Source organism: Homo sapiens, chromosome 17, assembly GCF_000001405.40.
Source record: "Homo sapiens chromosome 17, GRCh38.p14 Primary Assembly".
Taxonomy (NCBI): Eukaryota; Metazoa; Chordata; class Mammalia; order Primates; family Hominidae; genus Homo; species Homo sapiens.
In genome coordinates this window covers 52,517,339-52,537,473 of record NC_000017.11, presented here as the reverse complement: position 1 = coordinate 52,537,473, position 20,135 = coordinate 52,517,339, and the positions used below count along the sequence as shown (strand labels likewise).

The 20,135-nt window shown below is 36.3% G+C and overlaps 1 long non-coding RNA gene across 1 annotated transcript in view; it reads right to left on the bottom strand.

Moving 5' to 3' along the window:
- Nucleotides 1-1,772: 1,772 nt before the first annotated feature.
- The window catches only part of LINC01982 (long intergenic non-protein coding RNA 1982), a 145,180-nt gene continuing 126,817 nt past the window's right edge, over nt 1,773-20,135 (bottom strand). Inside the window, exons 2-4 of the long non-coding RNA NR_146898.1 lie at nt 4,880-4,942; nt 2,650-2,741; nt 1,773-1,849 (exon numbers count right to left, since the gene is read on the bottom strand). This is a non-coding gene — a long non-coding RNA (long intergenic non-protein coding RNA 1982). The remainder of the gene's footprint in view (nt 1,850-2,649; nt 2,742-4,879; nt 4,943-20,135) is intronic.

Here is a 20,135-nt window from a genome sequence, read left to right as displayed (position 1 = left end):
TTTTTTAGACCTTGTATGTTTTATTTTAGCGTTATAGTTAAGGAAGAAATGTAAGCCTTTTGTGTATAGCTGGACCCAATTCAAAGTCAGAAAGACTTCAGAGGCAGCTTGGTGAGGCCAGCTGCAGGTTGTTGTGATTTTTAAAGCGATCTGGACAACTAAACAGCATCTTAAGGCATCAGGAGTTTACCACAGGAGATTCTTATTGAAAGATATCTCACTTTTGGGTGATTTATTCACATTCTACAGGGTTTTCATTTTTTTTTTTTTTTTTTTTTTTTTTTTTTTTCAATGCTGGTTCTTCCTCAAGATGTGCTAAATAATTTTCAGGACCCATTGCAAAATAAAAATGCTAAGCCCCTCATTCAAAAATCAATAAAAACTTGTCATTTGGTGTGTTGAAATATAAAGCCTTTTCCTTTCCTTTATTGTCTCTCTCTTGTGTTTCTTCATGATGTTCTATATTTGCTATTTAATTCTAAGTAAAGAAAAAATAAAATTTTAAATTATTAGATCTTATCATCCATGTTTATATTATGCAAGTCCACTTTTAAACGCAGATATCAGAATATTAAGTTGTATGCTGAAGCACCGTAATTACACAATTCTTATTACATGGCTTATCCCCAGAGAGTCCCTGGAGCTAGTAGAAGAGAAAAACACAAGCCAGATTAAGGAAAGTTGGAAGGAGGAATAGAAGTTACTTCCAGGAATGAAGCAGGCCAGGAAAGCATCCTTTAACACGGGGACACCCATGGAGTGAGCCAGACCCTCACATGTGCCTAGGGTTTTGCCAAATGACACAGGCCATGTGTGCACAAGCTCTGCTTAACAGCTGCCTGGACTACATACCATGCATTAGCCAGGACAGCATCTGAGGAGTCCAGACGGTGACTCCTCTTCCCACAGGCCCACTTCCCCAGCCTGCTGTGCAATGGGCAATTACCAAGGATATTGCAACCTGAGCGTTGGATGCCCTTGGTCTCCACCTATTCACTGCTGAGTTGTCAGCCCAGGGCAGGGATTGTCATCACTATGCTCTACTCTTGCCTCTGGATACCACAGGGCACTTGTGCCTATCCCTAATCTCCCATCTACTATCAGGTTCCCACCTGTGGCAGAAAGTGGCAAGACCAGATTGGGAAAAGGGGGGCCAGGCAGGCTAGAGCACAGGATAAGAGGAGCAGGCAGCTGAGAATTCATCCTGGAGAGAGAGATGGAGGCAATACCATGTGAGCCAAGGCAAGCTCCAGGCTCAAGTGCCATTGTCCCATCAGATTTTGCTTACAAAACAAAATTCAAAGATAAATCTATTAAGATTATTAAGACAGTAAGTGCAGTGCATTAAACTCTAATCACAGGAGCTTCTGAGTGTGAAACCCACTAGCCACGTAACCATGAAGCTGTCCCTGTCCCTCCTTCTTTGGAAGTGGTCTTCTTGCCATCATTTAGTAGTGCTGGAGTGGTGACCAGCCACTGAGCTTGTGCTATTGTGCATGTCAGGATTTAAAGACAAAAGTATTTGTTGACTAAATTGTCTTTTAAAAAATCTGCTACAGAAAGCAACACGTTTTATACATCTTAAGATAGTGGAAAAAATGTAATTTTCTTGCTCCTTTAAAATAGTAATATTTAAAAGATTACTTTTAAAAGATACTTTACTTCATGCTGCAATAAAAATTACGTCTGAAATCTTAGTGGCTTAATATCAAAAGGTTGATTTATTACTCATGATATATACTTACCAGGTGTGGGCAGGAGGCTCTGATCCCATTACATTCAGGGATCCATGCTGGTGGAGGCCACGTTTTTTGTGGCTGTGCCTTCTGGGATGGGGCCTTTGAGGTCACTGTGGCAGGGAAAGAGAGGAATGAGGGTTGCGCGCCAGCATAGAGGGATTCGGCCCACAGAACTTCTGTTTATAGCAAATTACCTAGAACTATTATCTATCAGTAAAGTAGCTCCATCTAACTAAAAGAGTCCTAGAAAATATAGGGAAGCTCATAAATATTTGGTAAACAGAAATTGTCTGTGCTACGTATGGTTTGCAGAGCATTAAATGTCCTATAATTTCATTTTGGGGGTGATGGACTAATTCTGTTTATGCTGGGAGTTTGTTCTAGCTCTCTCTTTTTCTCTTTCAATCTCTCTCAATTTCTTTCCTTCACAATGTGTGACTATTGAAAGGTCTCTTAACTATTCTGAACCAAAATTTCTTCACTGTGAAATAGAAGTAAAAATGTCTGGCTCACACAGGATTATTATTAAATAATAGAATGCCCATGAAAGCACTTTGTAAATCATAAAATGACATTCAAAAATAAAACATTATTGTGTATCAGACTGAAAGGAAACCAAAGAGATATATTTCTCTTTTTCTACACTTCAAAACCCTCCAAATGACATTCAGTATACTGTTTCTTCAATCTCAGAGGCAAATCCCATAATTTTCTATGTGAACACATACTCTGAACTGAGTATGAAAGAAGTTACTTCCTGCACAATCATTCTCGTCTCTACCATTAGATGGCCATGGAACCTAGAAAAGGTATTCAATATACCAGACCTCCATTCTTTCATTCATAATTTAAAGGTGTTAAATCAGGCTAGGGACAATCTAGTCTAATATTTTCGAGACTAGTCACTTACCTCCAAGATGTAACATGAGATGAGCCAAAGAAGTCTCTTCCCATAAGCTCTTCCTCCCACTGGTCCAGTGGCCACTAATGTGAGTCTCTCCTCTGCACACAAACACAGAGGCGATTGATATAGAGTAATTTATCTGAGAGTGAAAGAAACTATACCATTTTTAACAATTGATATCATTAATTTATTTATTCTAGCACACTTATTCAGAACTCTACATTTAGCTTTCTAATGAGAAAGTATTTTAGAAAGGGAAATCATTTGGTTATATCCATGTAACAAACAAAAAATAAGAAATGAAGTGGGTTAAGAATACTGAAACCTTAAGCAAAATCTGATGAAGAGTTAATATTTCCAGAATCTCTACAGATAACATACTTTCATAAAGTGTTTCATGTAACCAAAGATGGTGTATAAGAATTTTTAGAAATGCTATGTTAAAATTATGCCATCTACCTATAGACCTGCTGAATTACCAGAGCGGTATTACCCAGGAAAATGCTCATGCATTTTTGTCATGTTCAATTTCACATTTGAAAAAATGGGCAAACATATGTGGCTTTAATAACAAGGAAAACAGCTTGTTCTTGCTATATCAGTCTAATACATTGATCACCCAGAGAGTTTTTAAGTATATAAATTATTTAAGTGAATATCAAATGATATGGTCACAGGCAGACTTTTAGAAAGTAACAGAAGAGTATCACACAAAAGCAATAGACTTTCTGGGTGGGGAGAGTGGAGTAAAACAAAAATAACCTTTATATATATATATATATATATATATATATATATATATATATATATATATATATAGAAAGTTCAGCAAACCAAGGAAATTCTGAAAAATTCTTTTCCCTAGAAAAACCAACTTCAAATAAAAAAACTTATCATTTGTACTTAAAGTCAAGTGATGGAATTTTACTCTAACCAATATGACTATATTTTACAAAACTTGGAGGAAATATGAACTTCAAACTCTACACTACAAAGATTTGCAGGAACTAGAGTACTTTAAAAGATATTCTGCTAGTGACATCCCAAAATAGTTACACAATGGTCGCAAACAAAATAGTACAACACAACAGAGCATGGAGTATAATCAGTTTTTATGGTGGCAACAAAATGTTCAAATCACTCCTTTCAAGCAATACCAGGTATAAAGCAAGAAATTTAATATATAATTTTTAGATGTCTATATACATTAACAACAGTAGAAATAAAAGGCAACAAACATCAACATTGTGCCATTGTGCCAACATTGTATAAGGTACTTTATACACACTCCTCATTTCATTCTAACAATAATCGGTAATATAATTATGTCTTTAGCATATTTGTCAAGACAAGGCATTAAATGCTTGCTCACAATCACACAGCTAATTAATTCTTGATGCAATATTCAAAGACAAGTCTTTCAAAATTTTGTCATGGTTTCCCTATTATCTCTCTAGGATACTTCTCTACTAAAAATTAATCATTTTAACATTTCTGGTATGATCTTTGTACTTTGAGCAGACATAATTTAATGCAGATGTATCATTTTCTGTTCTGCACCTTTCACTTCAAGACTACATAAATTATTTAATTTATTTCTATTTAGCCTTCAAAGTCAATTTTGGGTCATGTTCCCTTGAGTAGCTGCATCATATAACATACTTAACTATTCTTACACAGATGAATAACCAATAGCTTCCCATTTTCTAAAATTATAGGTGACTATAGTATGAGCAAATTTGTGCATATAATTTTAATTTTCTCTTGGATTAGTCTTCTGTGATTCCTTCCCAGAAGTGGAAATAATGGCCCAGATAATTTTTAATAATCAAATGGCATAAATACATACTAGATTACAGGAAAGTAACAAAATAATAAAGTAATACTTGTGATATTTACTGTTTATTATTGTTGCTTTGTTTTGACTTCTCCCAGTCAAGTAGCCTGATTAGATCGCCTCTGGGTATTAGAGACACGGAGGGAGAAGTGAATTAGACTGTATTAGTTATCAATTATTACGTAACCAATTACCCCAAAACTTAATAACTTAAAACAGCAGCTATATTATCTTACAATTCCTGTTGGTCAGGAATACAATTATAGCTTAGCTGTATTCTTGGCTCGGGGTTCCTCACAGGCTGAATGATGGTGCCAGCTAGGACTGAAGTCTTCCCAAGGCTCAAGTGGGGATGGATCTGTTTCCACACTCACGCATGTAGTTGTTGGCAGAACCCACCTACTCCCTGGCTGTTGGTCTGGAGGCCTCCGTTTTTACAGCAGCTCGTATCACAGCAGCTTGCTTCATCAGAGTGAGTAAATGAGACAAGACAGAGAGATCAAAGCAAAAGTCAGTCTTTTATAACCTAACCTCAGTATGACATCCCATCCCATTTGCTATCTTTAGAGCAATTCTATCCTATTTTATTCTTTTGAAACTAGTCACTAGGTTCAGCCCAAACTCGACAGGAGGGGAATATACAGGATTGTGAATACTATATGGCTGAAATCCTGGGGAGCGTTTTAGAAGCTACTTAATCACACAAACTCTAGTCTACCTTTTTATTCTTCATAAAAGAGCTTGAAGATATGCTTCGCCCCCCACCCCCACCATTCTGTCATCATCTTTGTATAGTCCTTGACTCAAGCCCAGCCATTATAATTCTCTCTTAACTGGTATCTGTTGCTGTTTTCTGTCATCTCTTATCACTTTTTCCATATTTACCATGATCAGAGGAATCTTCTCCAAACTATGGATTTATTACTTTATTCTATTCAAAATTATAATATGTAAAGAGATATTCTAAGTATATTTCAAAAGAGTTATTACATACTGAAGAATTTTCCATATCAATTTTCTTAGCAATTATTTTTTTCTGTGTTAATGTGTAATTCAGCTAAGATCTTTATAAAATTATCTTAATTTCATTTTGAGTATAATAAGAATTAATAAGGTTTTACTAAATCTACAAAAGAGGCTCATGCTTCTACTAAGATGTCTAGCCTAATTTTCTATTCTTTCTTTTATTTCTATCTTTTTTTAAAACCTGGAAAGAGGAAAGAAAAAACTACATATTCGGCACAAATTATTTTCATCTTGTCTACAGGTTAGAAAATGCTGAGCTCACTCCTTTTTGCTAAATGATGTGATTGAAAGTATAAACCTTGAAACCAATTAGAAGTTTATGTCTCACTTCAAGCAAAATCTCCTTCTCATTTCTACCACCCTGATCCTTATTCTCGGTATTCATTATGAGTCCTCTGTGGATCTCTTTATTATGTTTTTCCAAATATGTATGTTTCTCTACATTCATCTGGCAATTAATTTCAGGCAGGGATTTTCAGCAAGAAGAATTATCAGCATGATATTGGAATTAAAAAATATTTGTTGAGCAAATATTCAGTGAATGAGCAAATGAACAAATTTGACATTCATTCTAAATACCTTCTGCTTTGGAAACCAGGACTGTGATGCTTACAAAAAATTATTTGGCATCTCACAAAGCCCCATTGGTTTAATATCAAAAGAAATAATGACTGAAAACACCTATTGCAAAAGAACCAGGTATTAGCATTGAGAGTCAGAAGCCAGCTCACTAGAAGCCAACTCACAAGTCAAATAGATAAACTTCTGTCGAAAGAAAGTGCATCCTACAGAAATAGATCAAGTAATGCATTTTTCAAGAACTGGTTCTGAGCAGTACTTTAATTTTCCAGAGGAATAGATGCTACAAATTTTATTTATTCAGGTACCTACTGCGATCTATACCTCTGGCCCTAGAATAAAAATAGAGTGTGTCCATCTGCCTCAAAGACACAGAGCTTGCTATCTGGAGGGCTAGGAAGGGACTAGAACATTCCAACCCAGGCCTTCAGGATACAGGAAATAACTTCACAATTTCTTTTTTTTTTAATTCAATTTTATTATTATTATACTTTAAGTTTTAGGGTACATGTACACAATGTGCAGGTTTGTTACATATGTATACATGTGCCATGTTGGTGGGTTGCACCCATTAACTCATCATTTAGCATTAGGTATATCTCCTAATGCTATCCCTCACAATTTCTAAAGAGGACAGACTTAAGGGAAGCTTTGAAAGTAGGACATTTCTGATGTTTTTAGAAGTTCCCTAAATCTTTTGACATTAGCATTTCCTAAGAGTGCTGCGATAGTCATATTTCCATTTCGGGTTGTACTCTAACTTTTATTTTGAGTGAATTGGGGTATGGAACACATATCTTGGATAAAAACCCATGAAGCCTAATATATTCACATTTGAAACAACATCCAAAAAGAAAAATCAAGATTTTCACTGCATCTTAGTAATTCAGAAAAAGGAAGTCAGGGAGGTAAGATAATTTATCTCCCTTATGTAACCTTGCCATTCATTACATCATAATGTGTAGAGCACACTTTGGAGAAACTGAAAACAAAATACTGGCCTCAAAAAATGTTGGCATAATGTCACTGTGTCAAAACCAAACCAAACAAACAAAAAGACACAATTCAATTCACATTTTGTTACATTCTATAAAAGGAGGGGTTTTTCAGTGTTAATCAATTTTAGTATATTGGAAAGTCAACATTAGCATATCTGTAACAATTGTGTATTTTTTCATTCAAATAAGTCTTTGATCATGCTTCTGTGGTATTATGTTAATTTTAACTCCCTTAGCATCTCTGAAAGACCATGTTGATGCTGCAATATGCATCCTCTCAATTCAGATCCACGGAGCTCTAATTTCTTCTCATTGCAACCCCTTCACTCAACATACATTTCATAGAACAGCAGATACATAAATGTTGATTAAGTTAATTAAACGTGAGCTAATTAAGAGTCAAAAGATAAATTTAAGCAGAATCCTCTTCAGTAACATATTCCAAATTATCAAAAGGTGGAATTTTTGTTTGTTACATCCACAGAAAAAATGTTTAAAAAGGATATTACCTAGCAATCTTCCTTATAATTATTCTCAGTCTACTGTTATACCAACATTATTACAACTAACTTACATTATTTGCATAATTATCACTCTATAGAGTGTGTTAATAGCTTAGGTATAACTTTGACATATACATCTCATTTCATCATGTTAATACTATTCACATAGAGATTAACAGAAAATAGGCTGGGAATGGTGAATCACACCTGTAATCCCAGCGCTTTAGGAGGCCGAGGCAGGTGGATCATTTGAGGTCAGAAGTCTGACACCAGCCTGGCCAACTTGGCAAAACCCTGTCTCTACTGAAAATACAAAAATTAGCCAGGCGAGGTGGCAGGCACCTGTAATCCCAGCTACTTGAAAGGCTAAGGCAGGAGAATTGCTTTAACCCGGGAGGCAGATGTTGCGGTGAGCTGAGATTGTGCCACTGCAGTCCAGCCTGGGCAACAGAGGAAGACTCTGTCTCAGAAAAAAAAAAAAAAAAAAAAAGATTAACAGAAAATATACTTAAATATCTCCCCAAATGCTCTTTGTTTGGGATATATAAATACAGACATATTTAAAACTACGACCAACCTTTCTAACTACCTCTTAGAGATGCTATTTGTGTTAAATCTGAAACAGTCAAAGGAATGTGAGAAATAAGCCTTTCTAAAGACATGTAATATCTTTGTTATCTCCTAGAAATAAATTTAAAATTAAAGTAGAAAACAAACCATAATTCTAGAATTCTGAAAAAGAGAAGTGTAGAGCACCTTCTCATAACATAAAAATTATAAATTAACAACAAATGAATAGCTAGCAGCCTGATGGGAAAATTAATAAATATATATTTAAAAATGTAAAAATTACCATTGGAATGTATGACGATAGTAACACAAAGAAATCAAAGAGTGAAGAATGAAGACATACTGGTTTAATTCTTGCACTGTAAATGGAGTGGTATAATGTTTATTGTAAACTGTAGAACCACAATAAAACAAAACACTCAAAGAGTTATTAGTAGTAAGCCAATGATGGATAAAAAGTGAAATCAAAAGCAGGGAAAAAGCAAAAAAGAAAAAAAAGTGTTGAAAGAAAATATATAAAGTAAACTGTATGGTGCTAGATTCACATTCAGCCATAACAATAATTACTTTAAATGTAAACAGTCTAAGCACTCGAATTCAAAGTCAAGAGTTGTCACATTGAATTAAAAAAAATAAAGACCTGAAAGGATATAAACTCACGTTAGAAAAAATATATACAATATACATATTATCTATATTATATATATTTATGCATACACACTTTATGCACACAATCTGTGTATTTGTGTGTAGAAAGTAAAAGGATCGAAAAACAGCTACTATTTTAAACACTGATTAAAAGAAAGCTTGAGGGCATACGTTAACTCTAGACAATCAGATATTAGAACAAGGAATTATAATCTAGGATAAAGAAGAATACTTCCTAATAATAAAGGGATCAGTTCATCAAGGTGATATAAAAACTCCAAATGTCGCTGGGCGCAGTGGCTCACACCTGTAATCCCAGCACTTTGGGATGCCGAGGTGGGCAGATCACTTGAGGTCAGGAGTTCAAGGCTAGCCTGGCCATATGGGGAAACTCCATCTCTACTAAAAATACAAAAAGTAGCTGGTCATGATGGCACACACCTGTAGTCTCAGATACTTGGGAGGCTGGGGCAGGAGAATAGCTTGAACCTGGGAGGCGGAGGTTGCAGTGAGCCGAGATCGCGCCATTGCACTCTAGCCTGGGAGTTGCAGTTTGACTCCGTCTCAAAAAAAAAAAATAAATAAAAATAAAAATAAAAAAACTCCGAATGTGTATGCGGTCAATGGTAGAGTACAAACTATACAAAATACATTTGTTAAGAAAATAGAAAGTAGATTTAGAAAAACTTGCAATTTTAGTTGGATATTTAACACTCTGAAAAATTAAAGGAGTTTTGTAGAAAAAATAGCATTTTTAAAGAAAGTTCAGAGAAAATCAGTAAAGATACAGAATAACTGAACAATTCTGTCAACCAATTTGACCGATTTGATATTTTAGAACGCTCCATTTAACTATAGCAGAATGTACCTTCTTTTAAAGCATATACAGAACACTTACAAAGATAACCATTTTTGTCATAAAAAGTTTAAATAAATATAAAAGGATTCAAATCATATAAATATGTTCTTTGACTACATCAAACTAACTGAAACTCAATAACAGTATAGTAAATAATATCAGAATAATCCTCCAAATACTTGCAAATTAAACAAAATATTTTTAAACAACTTAAGGATAACATAAGAAAATTCAGTGGAAACTAGAAGATATTTTGAATCCAATGAAAATGAAAATGAAACATATCAAAATCTGTGGAATTTACCTGAAGCAGTGTTTAAAGAAAAATATATAGCATTAAATGTATATTAGAAAAAATAAGTAAGATTTCAAACAAAAGACCTCAAATTCTGTCCTAAGAATCCAAGGAAAGATGATCAAATTATCCCAAAGACATGAAGAAAGAAAGGAATAATAAAGATTTAAAAATTAATGAAATGGGGAATCAAACAGCAATGGAAAAAATCAATGAAGCTAAAAGCTGCTTCTCTGAATAAAAGTCAATATATTCATTATCTTCTAGCAAGAATGACAAAGAAAAAAATGGGATACAACATTATCAGTAATAAAGAAGATATTACTACAATGGACATTAAAATGTGATAAGGAAACATCAAATAAACATCTTAATGCCAAGAAATTTGAATACAGAAAAAAAGAACATATTCCTTCAAAGACACAAACTAATTCTAGGAAAAAAAAATGCACTAGTTAAATAACCGTACATCTATTAAAGAATTTAAATCTACAGTTAAAAATCTTTCACTGGTTAATTCTACTAAATATTTAAGTAGGAAATAATGCTGATTCTTCACAATCTTTTCCAGAAAAGTGAAAAATTAACACTTCCCAACTTATTTTATGAAGCTAGGATTATATTGCTTTCAAAATGAGCAAAGCTTTTACAGCAACTCATGTATCACTGTAAACCACATCCTGCATCCCACTTCACTGTGACTTAACACTGTGTTCATCCATTATCAGGCTGCTAATAAAGACATACCCTAGACTGGGTAATTTATAAAGGAAAGAGGTTTGACTCACAGTTCAGCATAACTGGGGAGGCCTCAGGAAACTTACAATCATGGCAGAAGGGGAAGAAAACATGTCCTTCTTCACATGTTGGCAACAAGGAGAAGTGAAGAACAAAGTGGGGGCAAAGCCCCTTTTAAAACCTTTAGATCTCCTGACAACTCACTATCACGAGAACAGCATGGAAGTAACTGACCCCATGATTCAATTACCTACCACTGGGTCCTCCCATGACACGTGGGGATCATGGGAACTACAGTTTATGATGAGATTTGGGTGGGGACACAGCCAAACATATCACACAGTATCCTGGTATAACTCTACCACTGCATTTATCAAATGTAATTGTATGTTTACTTGCACGTCTCACTAAACTAAAATCAACTTTAAAATAAGCACTATTTATCAGATTCCTCAGCATCTAACACATAATGCATGTTTAAATTAACAAATAAGTGTTGGCCTGGTGCAGTGGCTCACACCTGTAATCCCAGGACTTTGGGAGGCCGAGGTGGGCGGACCATGAGGTCAGGAGTTCAAGACCAGCCTGTCCAATATGGTGAAACCCTGTCTGTACTAAAAATTCAAAAACTAGCCAGGTGTGGTGGCATGCGCCTGTAGTCCAAGCTACTCGGGAGGCTGAGACAGGAGAATCGCTTGAACCTGGGAGGTGGAGGTTGCAGTGAGCTGAGATCATGCCACTGCACTCCAGCCTGGGCAACAGAGCAAGACTCGTCCCAAACAAACAAACAAACAACAACAAAAAAAAATCACAAATAAGTGGATCAAGGGTGTTAGTTTTCTGAGGAAGGAAATTTACTTTCACTTACTCTTTATACCATGTTATCTTCACCATTGACCTGCTACCTTTTTCAAAACTCCACTGAATTTCTCTCTAGTTTCCTAATTAGTTAAGTGTTCAGATGAATTAATATTTACATTTTTCAATCAGACCTCACTGCCTGTCAATAAATGCTTTGTTTTCTGTTGTTTTTCAAATCCAGCAAAATATCTCTCTTCCCTGAGAAGGAAAGATGTTTGTACTTACAGTACCATGGGCAACAACTTTGTTATTTTGTTGCACAGCTTCCTTTACCTACATAAAGATCCTTTTAGAGCAAATAAAGGTCAAATTCATTTTCTCCTTGCTCTCACTGTGTCCTTCTAAGTATAGATTCAAGTCTATTAAAATAGATCTTCTGTTTTGTTGCTCTTGTGCTGTGATTCAAAATGTGCCAGCTATTAATTTCAAAAGCACTGGGAAAACACAAGAGACTTCCTAACTCTCCTTTTTGTCCCGGCAAGATTCTTATAAGTGAGCTTGCTTTGCACAGTGCAGGCCAACTGTCTTACTTGGAGTTGAATACTTCATTACAGAAAGATTCGAGTTCCCCAAAATGACACTGGGGTGGAAAATAATTTAAATGGAAAATCCCCGTAGCTATTTTAATGTAAGGGAGTGCCAAGTGTATGCCAAAAAAAAAGTGGGCTGCTGGCTAACAGATAACAAGTACAATATGTAAATAGGCAGAGAATAAAGGAATAGTTACTAAGACTTGAAATATCAGATTCAAGTAGTTTTTATCGCTTCTCTCTCAAAGACAAAATATCTACTCCCTATTATTGCCCTAGAAAATTAAGTAGTGTTTTGTATCTGTCCTTAGTTTTCATATGTGACCTATTGTCTAATTCTTCAACATTAATTCTGTAATCATTCAGCCCCTGTTCTATGCTAGATACCCTGCCATACATAGGCACACATATACAAAAATCACATTTTCTGCCAAGACCTTGATACAAGTCTTGGTTTTGATCTATAACAAGAGCATCGCTACCTCATTACGAGTAAGAAAAATATCATGGTAATGCCACAACCATTTCTAAAATGGTGGAAAGAAATATAAAAAGCACAAAAATAGGAAATAAGAAATAGGGCCTTAACAGTAACTTGCAATAAAAATAACCATGGGATTATAGGAATGCCTTGTTTTAGAGTGGTCATTGTAATAGTAAAAATGATAGTATCATGAAGGTAAAAGTAATGGTGGCAACAACAGAGGTAGTAAGTTCATACACATCCTAAGCAATTACAAGGTAACAAGTCTTGTGACTAGGGTTTTATGTAAATCAGCATATTTAATTTTTATAACAACACCATCAGACGTATGCTACTATTATCTCCATTTTACAGATGAAGGCGCAAAGTGGAAGAGAGGTTTGAGAAGTTTCCCATGGTTTCACAGCTAGCACCTAGTCAAATTGAGACTGAGAATCAGAGTCTGAGGTTTCCAAAGCCTATCTAAATGGTGTGTAGAGACAGGCAGACTGCTTACACTTAGTCTTTATGACTTGCTACTGAATAAACGGAAGCAACTTCAGGGCTTAGAAATGTTTTTTCTAGAAAGAGCCAGATAATACATATTTTAGGCTTTATGGACCATATGGGCTTTGTCACAAGCACTCATTTCTGCCATTGTAGAGTGAAACCAGCCATAGACAACAGAACAATTTTATTTCCCAAAACAGCCTGACCCTTGACTTACAAGGGTTATTTATTCTGAGCTTCAGATATTTTTGTCATTAAAATAACATGATTCTACATTTCTGGATTGTTGTAATTATTTTAAATATACATGTAAAGAATGTAGTGTGACAAATATTACATGCTCAATACATGATAACTTAAGCTTTCATTGATATTTTATTAATTTCTCTTCTTTTTAAGCTGCAAAATAATCTCTGTATTTTTGCCTTTCAATAAAAAGTTTATCGAAAAACAATGGAAATACCCTCTTTATGTATAAAGCCGAATGTGTGTATGTGAGTATGCATGTGTGCAAAATATGCTGCTATGGGGGGATAAATTAATTCAAATTTTTAGAAAACTTCTCATTCATATAATCTGCAGTTGCTAAAAATGCCAAAATCAGAAAAACACAGACTCTAATCTTACCAAGCTAAACCCTAGTAGGGAAAATGACTTGTGTATAAATACCTATCCAAAATTGTAGAATTTATTTTCTTGTAATACCACTGTAATAGTTACAAGTTGTATTATAAGAAGGGATTTTTTTTTTTGTCTGAGTCTCTTATTATTAGCTTGTGATCTCCTTAACGACTGGGATGGCCTACCTCAGAGTTCAGTATGGAAACTTACTCATAGCATTAAGTGTTTATGTGGAAATGAATAAACAATGTTAGAGAAAGTAGTAAGTCATGTAAGATGGTAAGACAAAAAGTCTCTGATTAGAATGATGCAAGAGAATGTAAATCATCCACCAAATTTTGTTAAATATATGTTCCATGTAGGAGGTGGTTTATAACACAGGTTAAGAACAAGGGAATTTGAGTGAATTTGGCTTGCAGAGCAGCGTTCTAAATATAACCTGGGCTAAACCATTTAAACTGTTTCTTACTTTCTTCTATCATAGAGAAAACTATATGCATTTCACAGAATTGCTGGAAGGGTTGATAAAAAATTATATATTTTTTAACTTTTTAATTTTTTAAAATATTTATTTATTTATTTATTTATTTATTTTGAGATAGAATCTTGCTTTGTCACCCAGGCTGGAGTAAAGTGGCACTGTCTCAGCTCACTGCAAACTCCACCTTTCAGGTTCAAGCGATTCTCCTCCCTCAGCCTCCCGAGTAGCTGGAACTACAGGTGCCCACCACCACGCCCAGCTAATTTTTGTATTTTTAGTATTTTTGTCTTTTTAGTACAGATAGTGTTTCACCATGTTCACCAGGCTGGTCTCAAAACTCCTGACCTCATGCAATCCACTTTGCCTCAGCCTCCCAAAGTGCTGGCATTACAGGCATGAGTCACCACACCTGGACAGAAAATTATATAATTTTTAAATTATTTTTTATTTGAATAGTTATAGTGGTCCAAGAGGTTTTTGGTTACATGAATTGCATAGCGAAGTCTGGGCTTTTGCCCAAATAGTGTGTATTATACCCAATAGGTGATTTTTTTCACCCCTCACCTCCTCCCTACATCCCCTCTTTTGGTTTTCCGTCTCTGAGTTACTTCATTTAGGATAACCGCCTCTAGTTCTATCCAAGTTGCTGCAAAAGACATGATTTCATTCTTTTTTATGGCTTAGTATTCCATGATGTATGTGTGTGTGTCTGTGTTTGTGTACATATGCATATGTATACATATATACACACCACATTTTCTTTATCTACTCATCAGTAGATGGGCATTTAGGTTGATTTCATGTCTTTGCAATTTTGAATTGTGCTGTGATAAACATAGGTGTGCAGGCGTCTTTTTGATATAATGACTTCTTTATAGATATCCTTTGGGTAGATATCCACTAGTGGTATTGCTGGATCGAATTGTAGATATACTTTTAGTTGGGAAATCTCCATGCTATTTTCCACAGAGGTAGTACTAGTTTATATTCCCACCAGCAGTTTATAAGCATTCCCAGTGTCTCTGGGAAAACAGGATAGCCACATGTAGAAGAATGAAACTGAATCCCTATCTCTAACCATATACAAAAATTACCTCGAGATGGATTAAAAACTTAAATCTAAGACCTTAAACCATAAAAATTCTAGAAGAAAACCTAGGAAAAACTCTTCTGGGTATTGACCTAGGCATAAATAATTATATCTAAAGAATGCATATACTGCCCAGCACACTGTGTAATAATGACTAGCATGATAATAATGCTGAAGATTTTGATAATAATGATGATTTTTAACAGTCAGAATAAGACTGGCTGAAAGAAACAATAAGTGTGGGTTAAACAACTATTGGTTTATTTTTCTCACATAAGAAAAATTCCAGAATACAGCTATTGCTGCCATTAATTCAACTGCTCTGCAATGTTGTCAGCGATGAACTAAATGTTTATGTTCCCCCAAAACTTATATGTTGAAATCCCAATTCCTAATCCCAGTGATGGTATTTGGAAATGGAGCCTTTGGGAGGTAACTCGGTTTAGATGACATCATGTGGGTGGAGCCCCTATGATGGGACTGATGTCCTCAAAAAAGGAAGAGGCCAGGTGCAGTGGCTCACACCTGCCATCCCAGCACCTTGGGAGGTCAAGGTGAGCAGATCTCTTGAGCCCTGGAGTTCAAGACCAGCCTGGGCAACATGGTGAAAACCCATTTCCACAAAAAATACAAAAATTAGCCAGGCGTGGTAGCGCACGCCTCTTGGTCCCAGCTACTTGGGAGCCTGAGGCTGGAGAATCACCTGAGCTCAGGAAGTCAGGACTTCAGTGAGCCGTGATTATGCCACTGCACTCCAGCCTGTGCGATGGGAGCGAGAGACCCTGTCTCAAAAAGGAAGGGGAAGGAGGAGGTGGAGGAGGAGGATCACTTCAGTCCAGGAGTATGAGGTGTTTGAGGAAGAAACACATGAGATCTGTAGGTGTGTGTGTACACACACCAAGGAAAGGCCCTGTGAGGAAATAATTAGGAAGAGGGCCCTCACCGAGAAACTAATTATTCTGGCATCCGGATCTCTGAAGTCTGTCTTTAGAATCATGAGAAATAAATGTTTCTGGTTTAAGCAACCCAATCTATGGTAATTTGTTATAGCAGCCCAATCTTTCTGGGACAGAGTCATAGGCTCTTTCTATCTGCCATATCTTAGCCTAGCACTACTCGATATGTGGTCCATGGGCAAGCAGCATCAGTATCATCAGAAGTGTGTCGGAAGTGTAAATTTATGGGTAAATTCACCCTAACCTACTGAATCAGAGCCCAGATTCCTAGTTGTTTTTCTTATGCATGTTAGAAGTTGAGAGCCATAGCTTTAGCCAAGTTTTCATCTTCATACTTGCTTCCTCATAGCAGCAAAATGGTGTCTGAAGTTTCAAATACCCTCCTTATGTAGAGAGCAAGTAGAACAAAGGAAGAATAACTATATGCAGTAGGTTTTGTTTTGCTTTGTTTTTCTGGTAATGTATGTAGGAAGGTGCCTCTGAAAAACAGAAAATAATGTGATGAGAAATCACCATTCAACCCAGCAATCTCATTACTGGATATATCCTCAAAGTTAAATAATTCTCTACCACAAAGACACTTGTACTGATATGTTTATTGCAGCACTATTTATTAATACAATAGCAAAGACATGGAATCAACCTAGATGCCCATCAGTGGTAGAATGGATAAAGAAAATATAGTACATACATTCCATTGAATATTACACAGCTACTTAAAAGAATGAAATCATGTCCTTTGCATCAACATGGGTGCGGCTGGAGGCCATTATCCTAAGCATATTAATGCAGAGACAGAAAACAAAACACTGCGTGTTCTCACTTACAAGGGTGAGCTAAACGTTGAGTACACAGGGACATAAAGATGGGAACAACAGACAGTGGAGACTCCAAAAGTGGGGAAAGTGGAGGAAGGCAAGGGCTGAAAAACTTTGTAGTAGGGTACTAAGTTCACTATCTGGGTGACAGGGTCAGTAGAAACCTATATGTCATTACCGTGCAATATATTATTGTAACAGAGTTTCACATGTACCCCCATGAATCTAAAAGAAAAAGAAAAGTAATGAGATGAAAATGGAAACTACTTCAAAGATAGTTGTTGGAGTGTGGATAGGGAAAAAAGGTGAGAGACTGTGATGAAATTCAAGTATCAATAAAAAAAAATTTTGCTCAGAGTAATAATGCCAGTGGCACAAATTATACCCCACTGCTAATAGTGGCCATGTATTCATTGTTATATGGATATTAATAGTGCCACCCTTGTAATCAATTAATGTAATAATAGTTTGGATGCTGATCATTAGAGGGTGGGGACAGCATCAGAATTGTATCTCTAGAAAATAAGCTTAACAGCATTTAAGAAACACTACTGTAAAACTATGTTCTCTTAGCTTGACCATAGAATGAGACTCTCCATGTGGGGTCAAACAGCTGATAGTTGCAGCTTTTTCCTGTGTCCCCAGTTTCATTTTCGCTTAAAAATATATTATTAATGACCACTGTCACCAAGAATATGCAAACAACTTTTTAATGTCACTTAGCATAGTTGAGACAAGATTTTTATTTTATTTTATTTTATCTTATTTTGAGACAGATTCTTACTCTGTAGCCCAGGCTGGAGTGCAGTGGTGTAATCACAGATCACTGAAGTCTTGACCTCCCCGACTCAAGCAATCCTCCAGCCTCAGCTTCCCCAATAGTTGGGACTACATGCACGAACCACCATGCCCAGCTAATTAAAAAAAAAAAAAAAAAATGGAGAGACAGGGCCTATGTGGCCTAGGCTGGTCTTGAACTTCTGGGCTCAAGCAGTCCTCCTTCCTTAGCCTTCCAAAGTGGTGAGATTACAGGCATGAGCCACTGTGCCCAGCCAAGAGACAAGACTTTTAAATAAGACTTAAAAACCTACTAAAGATTTAGAAGGACAGGGCCGGGCACGGTGGCTCACACCTGTAATCCCAGCACTTTGGGAGGATGAAGTGGGTGGATCATGAGGTCAGGAGTTCAAGACCAGCCTGACCAATATGGTGAAACCCTGTCTCTACTAAAAATACAAAAAAAAAAAAAAAAAAAAAATTAGCCAAGCCTTGTGGCAGGTGCCTCTAACCCCAGCTACTTGGTAGGCTGAGGCAGGAGAATCACTTGAATCCGGGAGGCGGAGGTGCCACTGCACTCGACCCTGGGTGACAGAGCGAGACTCCATCTCAAAAAAAAAAAAAAAAGAAAAAAAGTACAAAAATAAATAAAGAATATAAGTGTAACCATATGCTTTCTGGCTTATGTATTGCTAGCTTAGGAAAAGGTATGCTTTAGAGTTTCCTGCCCTGAATTTCCCTGAAGAAACTTCAGGACTCCTTGAAAGCCTGTTCTGTGTGGGAGAACAGAACAGAGTTTACCCTTAAAGGTGTCATGTGTGTGTGTCTTTTCTTCTTCCCTTGCATGTCTCCTGCACAGAACAAGGCCAAGAGATCCTTTTTCGACATGTTTTACCTCCAATTTTTGCTGTCACTCTGGCTGAAGTGCAGTGGCTTGATCATAGCTCACTGCAACCTCAAACTCCTGGCCTCAAGGGATCCTCCCTGCTTCCGCCTCCCGAATAACTGAGACTACAGGTGTGTGCGATTGTGCCTGGCTAAAGCTCACTTTCAGAATTCAAGTTTCCTCTCCTAGGGGCCACTTCATTACTGTATGATGGGTAATGAGAAAGTAAAAACTAACATCAAAAATTTTACTCAGAGTAATAATGCCAGTGGCACAAATTATACCCCACTGCTAATAGCGGCCATGTGTTCATTGTTATATGGATATTAATAGTGCCACCCTTGTCATAAATTAAATTCCCATACATGTGTGCATGTGTGATAAGAGATAAATTATCATGTAGTTTATAATCACGCTTTATTATAAACTATTTCAAATATATGAAAAAGTTCCATGCTTTAATGAATTTTAACATTTTGCCATTTTTACTCCAGGTATTACTAACAATTAAAACCACACCATAGCCCCTTTTGTATACTTTATCCATCTTATATCACCCTTCCTTTCAAACTAACTTGTTACATAACTCTCATTCCCATTAGATTATATCTAAATACACTCCCCTAGATTTGGCCCCAGGATGCCATCCACGGAAGTGGTGTCTCTCTCTAAGACCTGTTCAAAAGAGGTGAAGGTATCTCTTTCTGGCCCATGCTTATGTGAGTATTCAAATGTGTATTAGTTCGTTCAAAATGGATACTACTGTTTTGCTCATATGTAAATGTTAAATAAATGGCATAATTCGTTTCTATCATTCAGTGTATTCATTAGGGTAAAGTAGGCTGGTAAAAAAATAGACTCAGTATTTCAGTAGTTTAACAATTTGTTTATTTCAGACTTGCATAGTAGTCAAGAAAGGGTGTTCATCTCAGTTAGGATGGCTCTCCTCCATAGGGATTATTCACACACAGAGTGACAGTGGCCCTGCCATCTTCTGTATTTGTTTTCTATTGCTGCATAACAAACTAGCACACACTTACTGGCTTAAAATAACACCCATTTTTTAACTCAGAGATCTGGAGGTCCGAAGTGGAGATACAACGTGACTAAATTCTCTGCTCTTTGTTTTCCAATGAGAGAATCAAGGTGTTGGCCTGGCTGTGTTTCTTTCTGGAGGCTCTAGGGATTTTACTTCCAAGCTCATTCAGGAGGATGGCAGAATTCTCTTCCATGCTGAGGAACTGAGATTCCAGTATTTGCTGGCTGTCAGCCAGGTCTTTGTCAGCTCACAGAGGCCACCTTCATTTCTTGCCCCCTCCCTCTTCAAAGCCAGCAACTGATAATATCTCTCAGGTCAAATTCCTCTCAAACTTCAAATCTCCATTAAGAACCCAATTCTTTTTAAGGTTTCATCTGATTAGGTCAGACTGACCAAAGATAATCTTT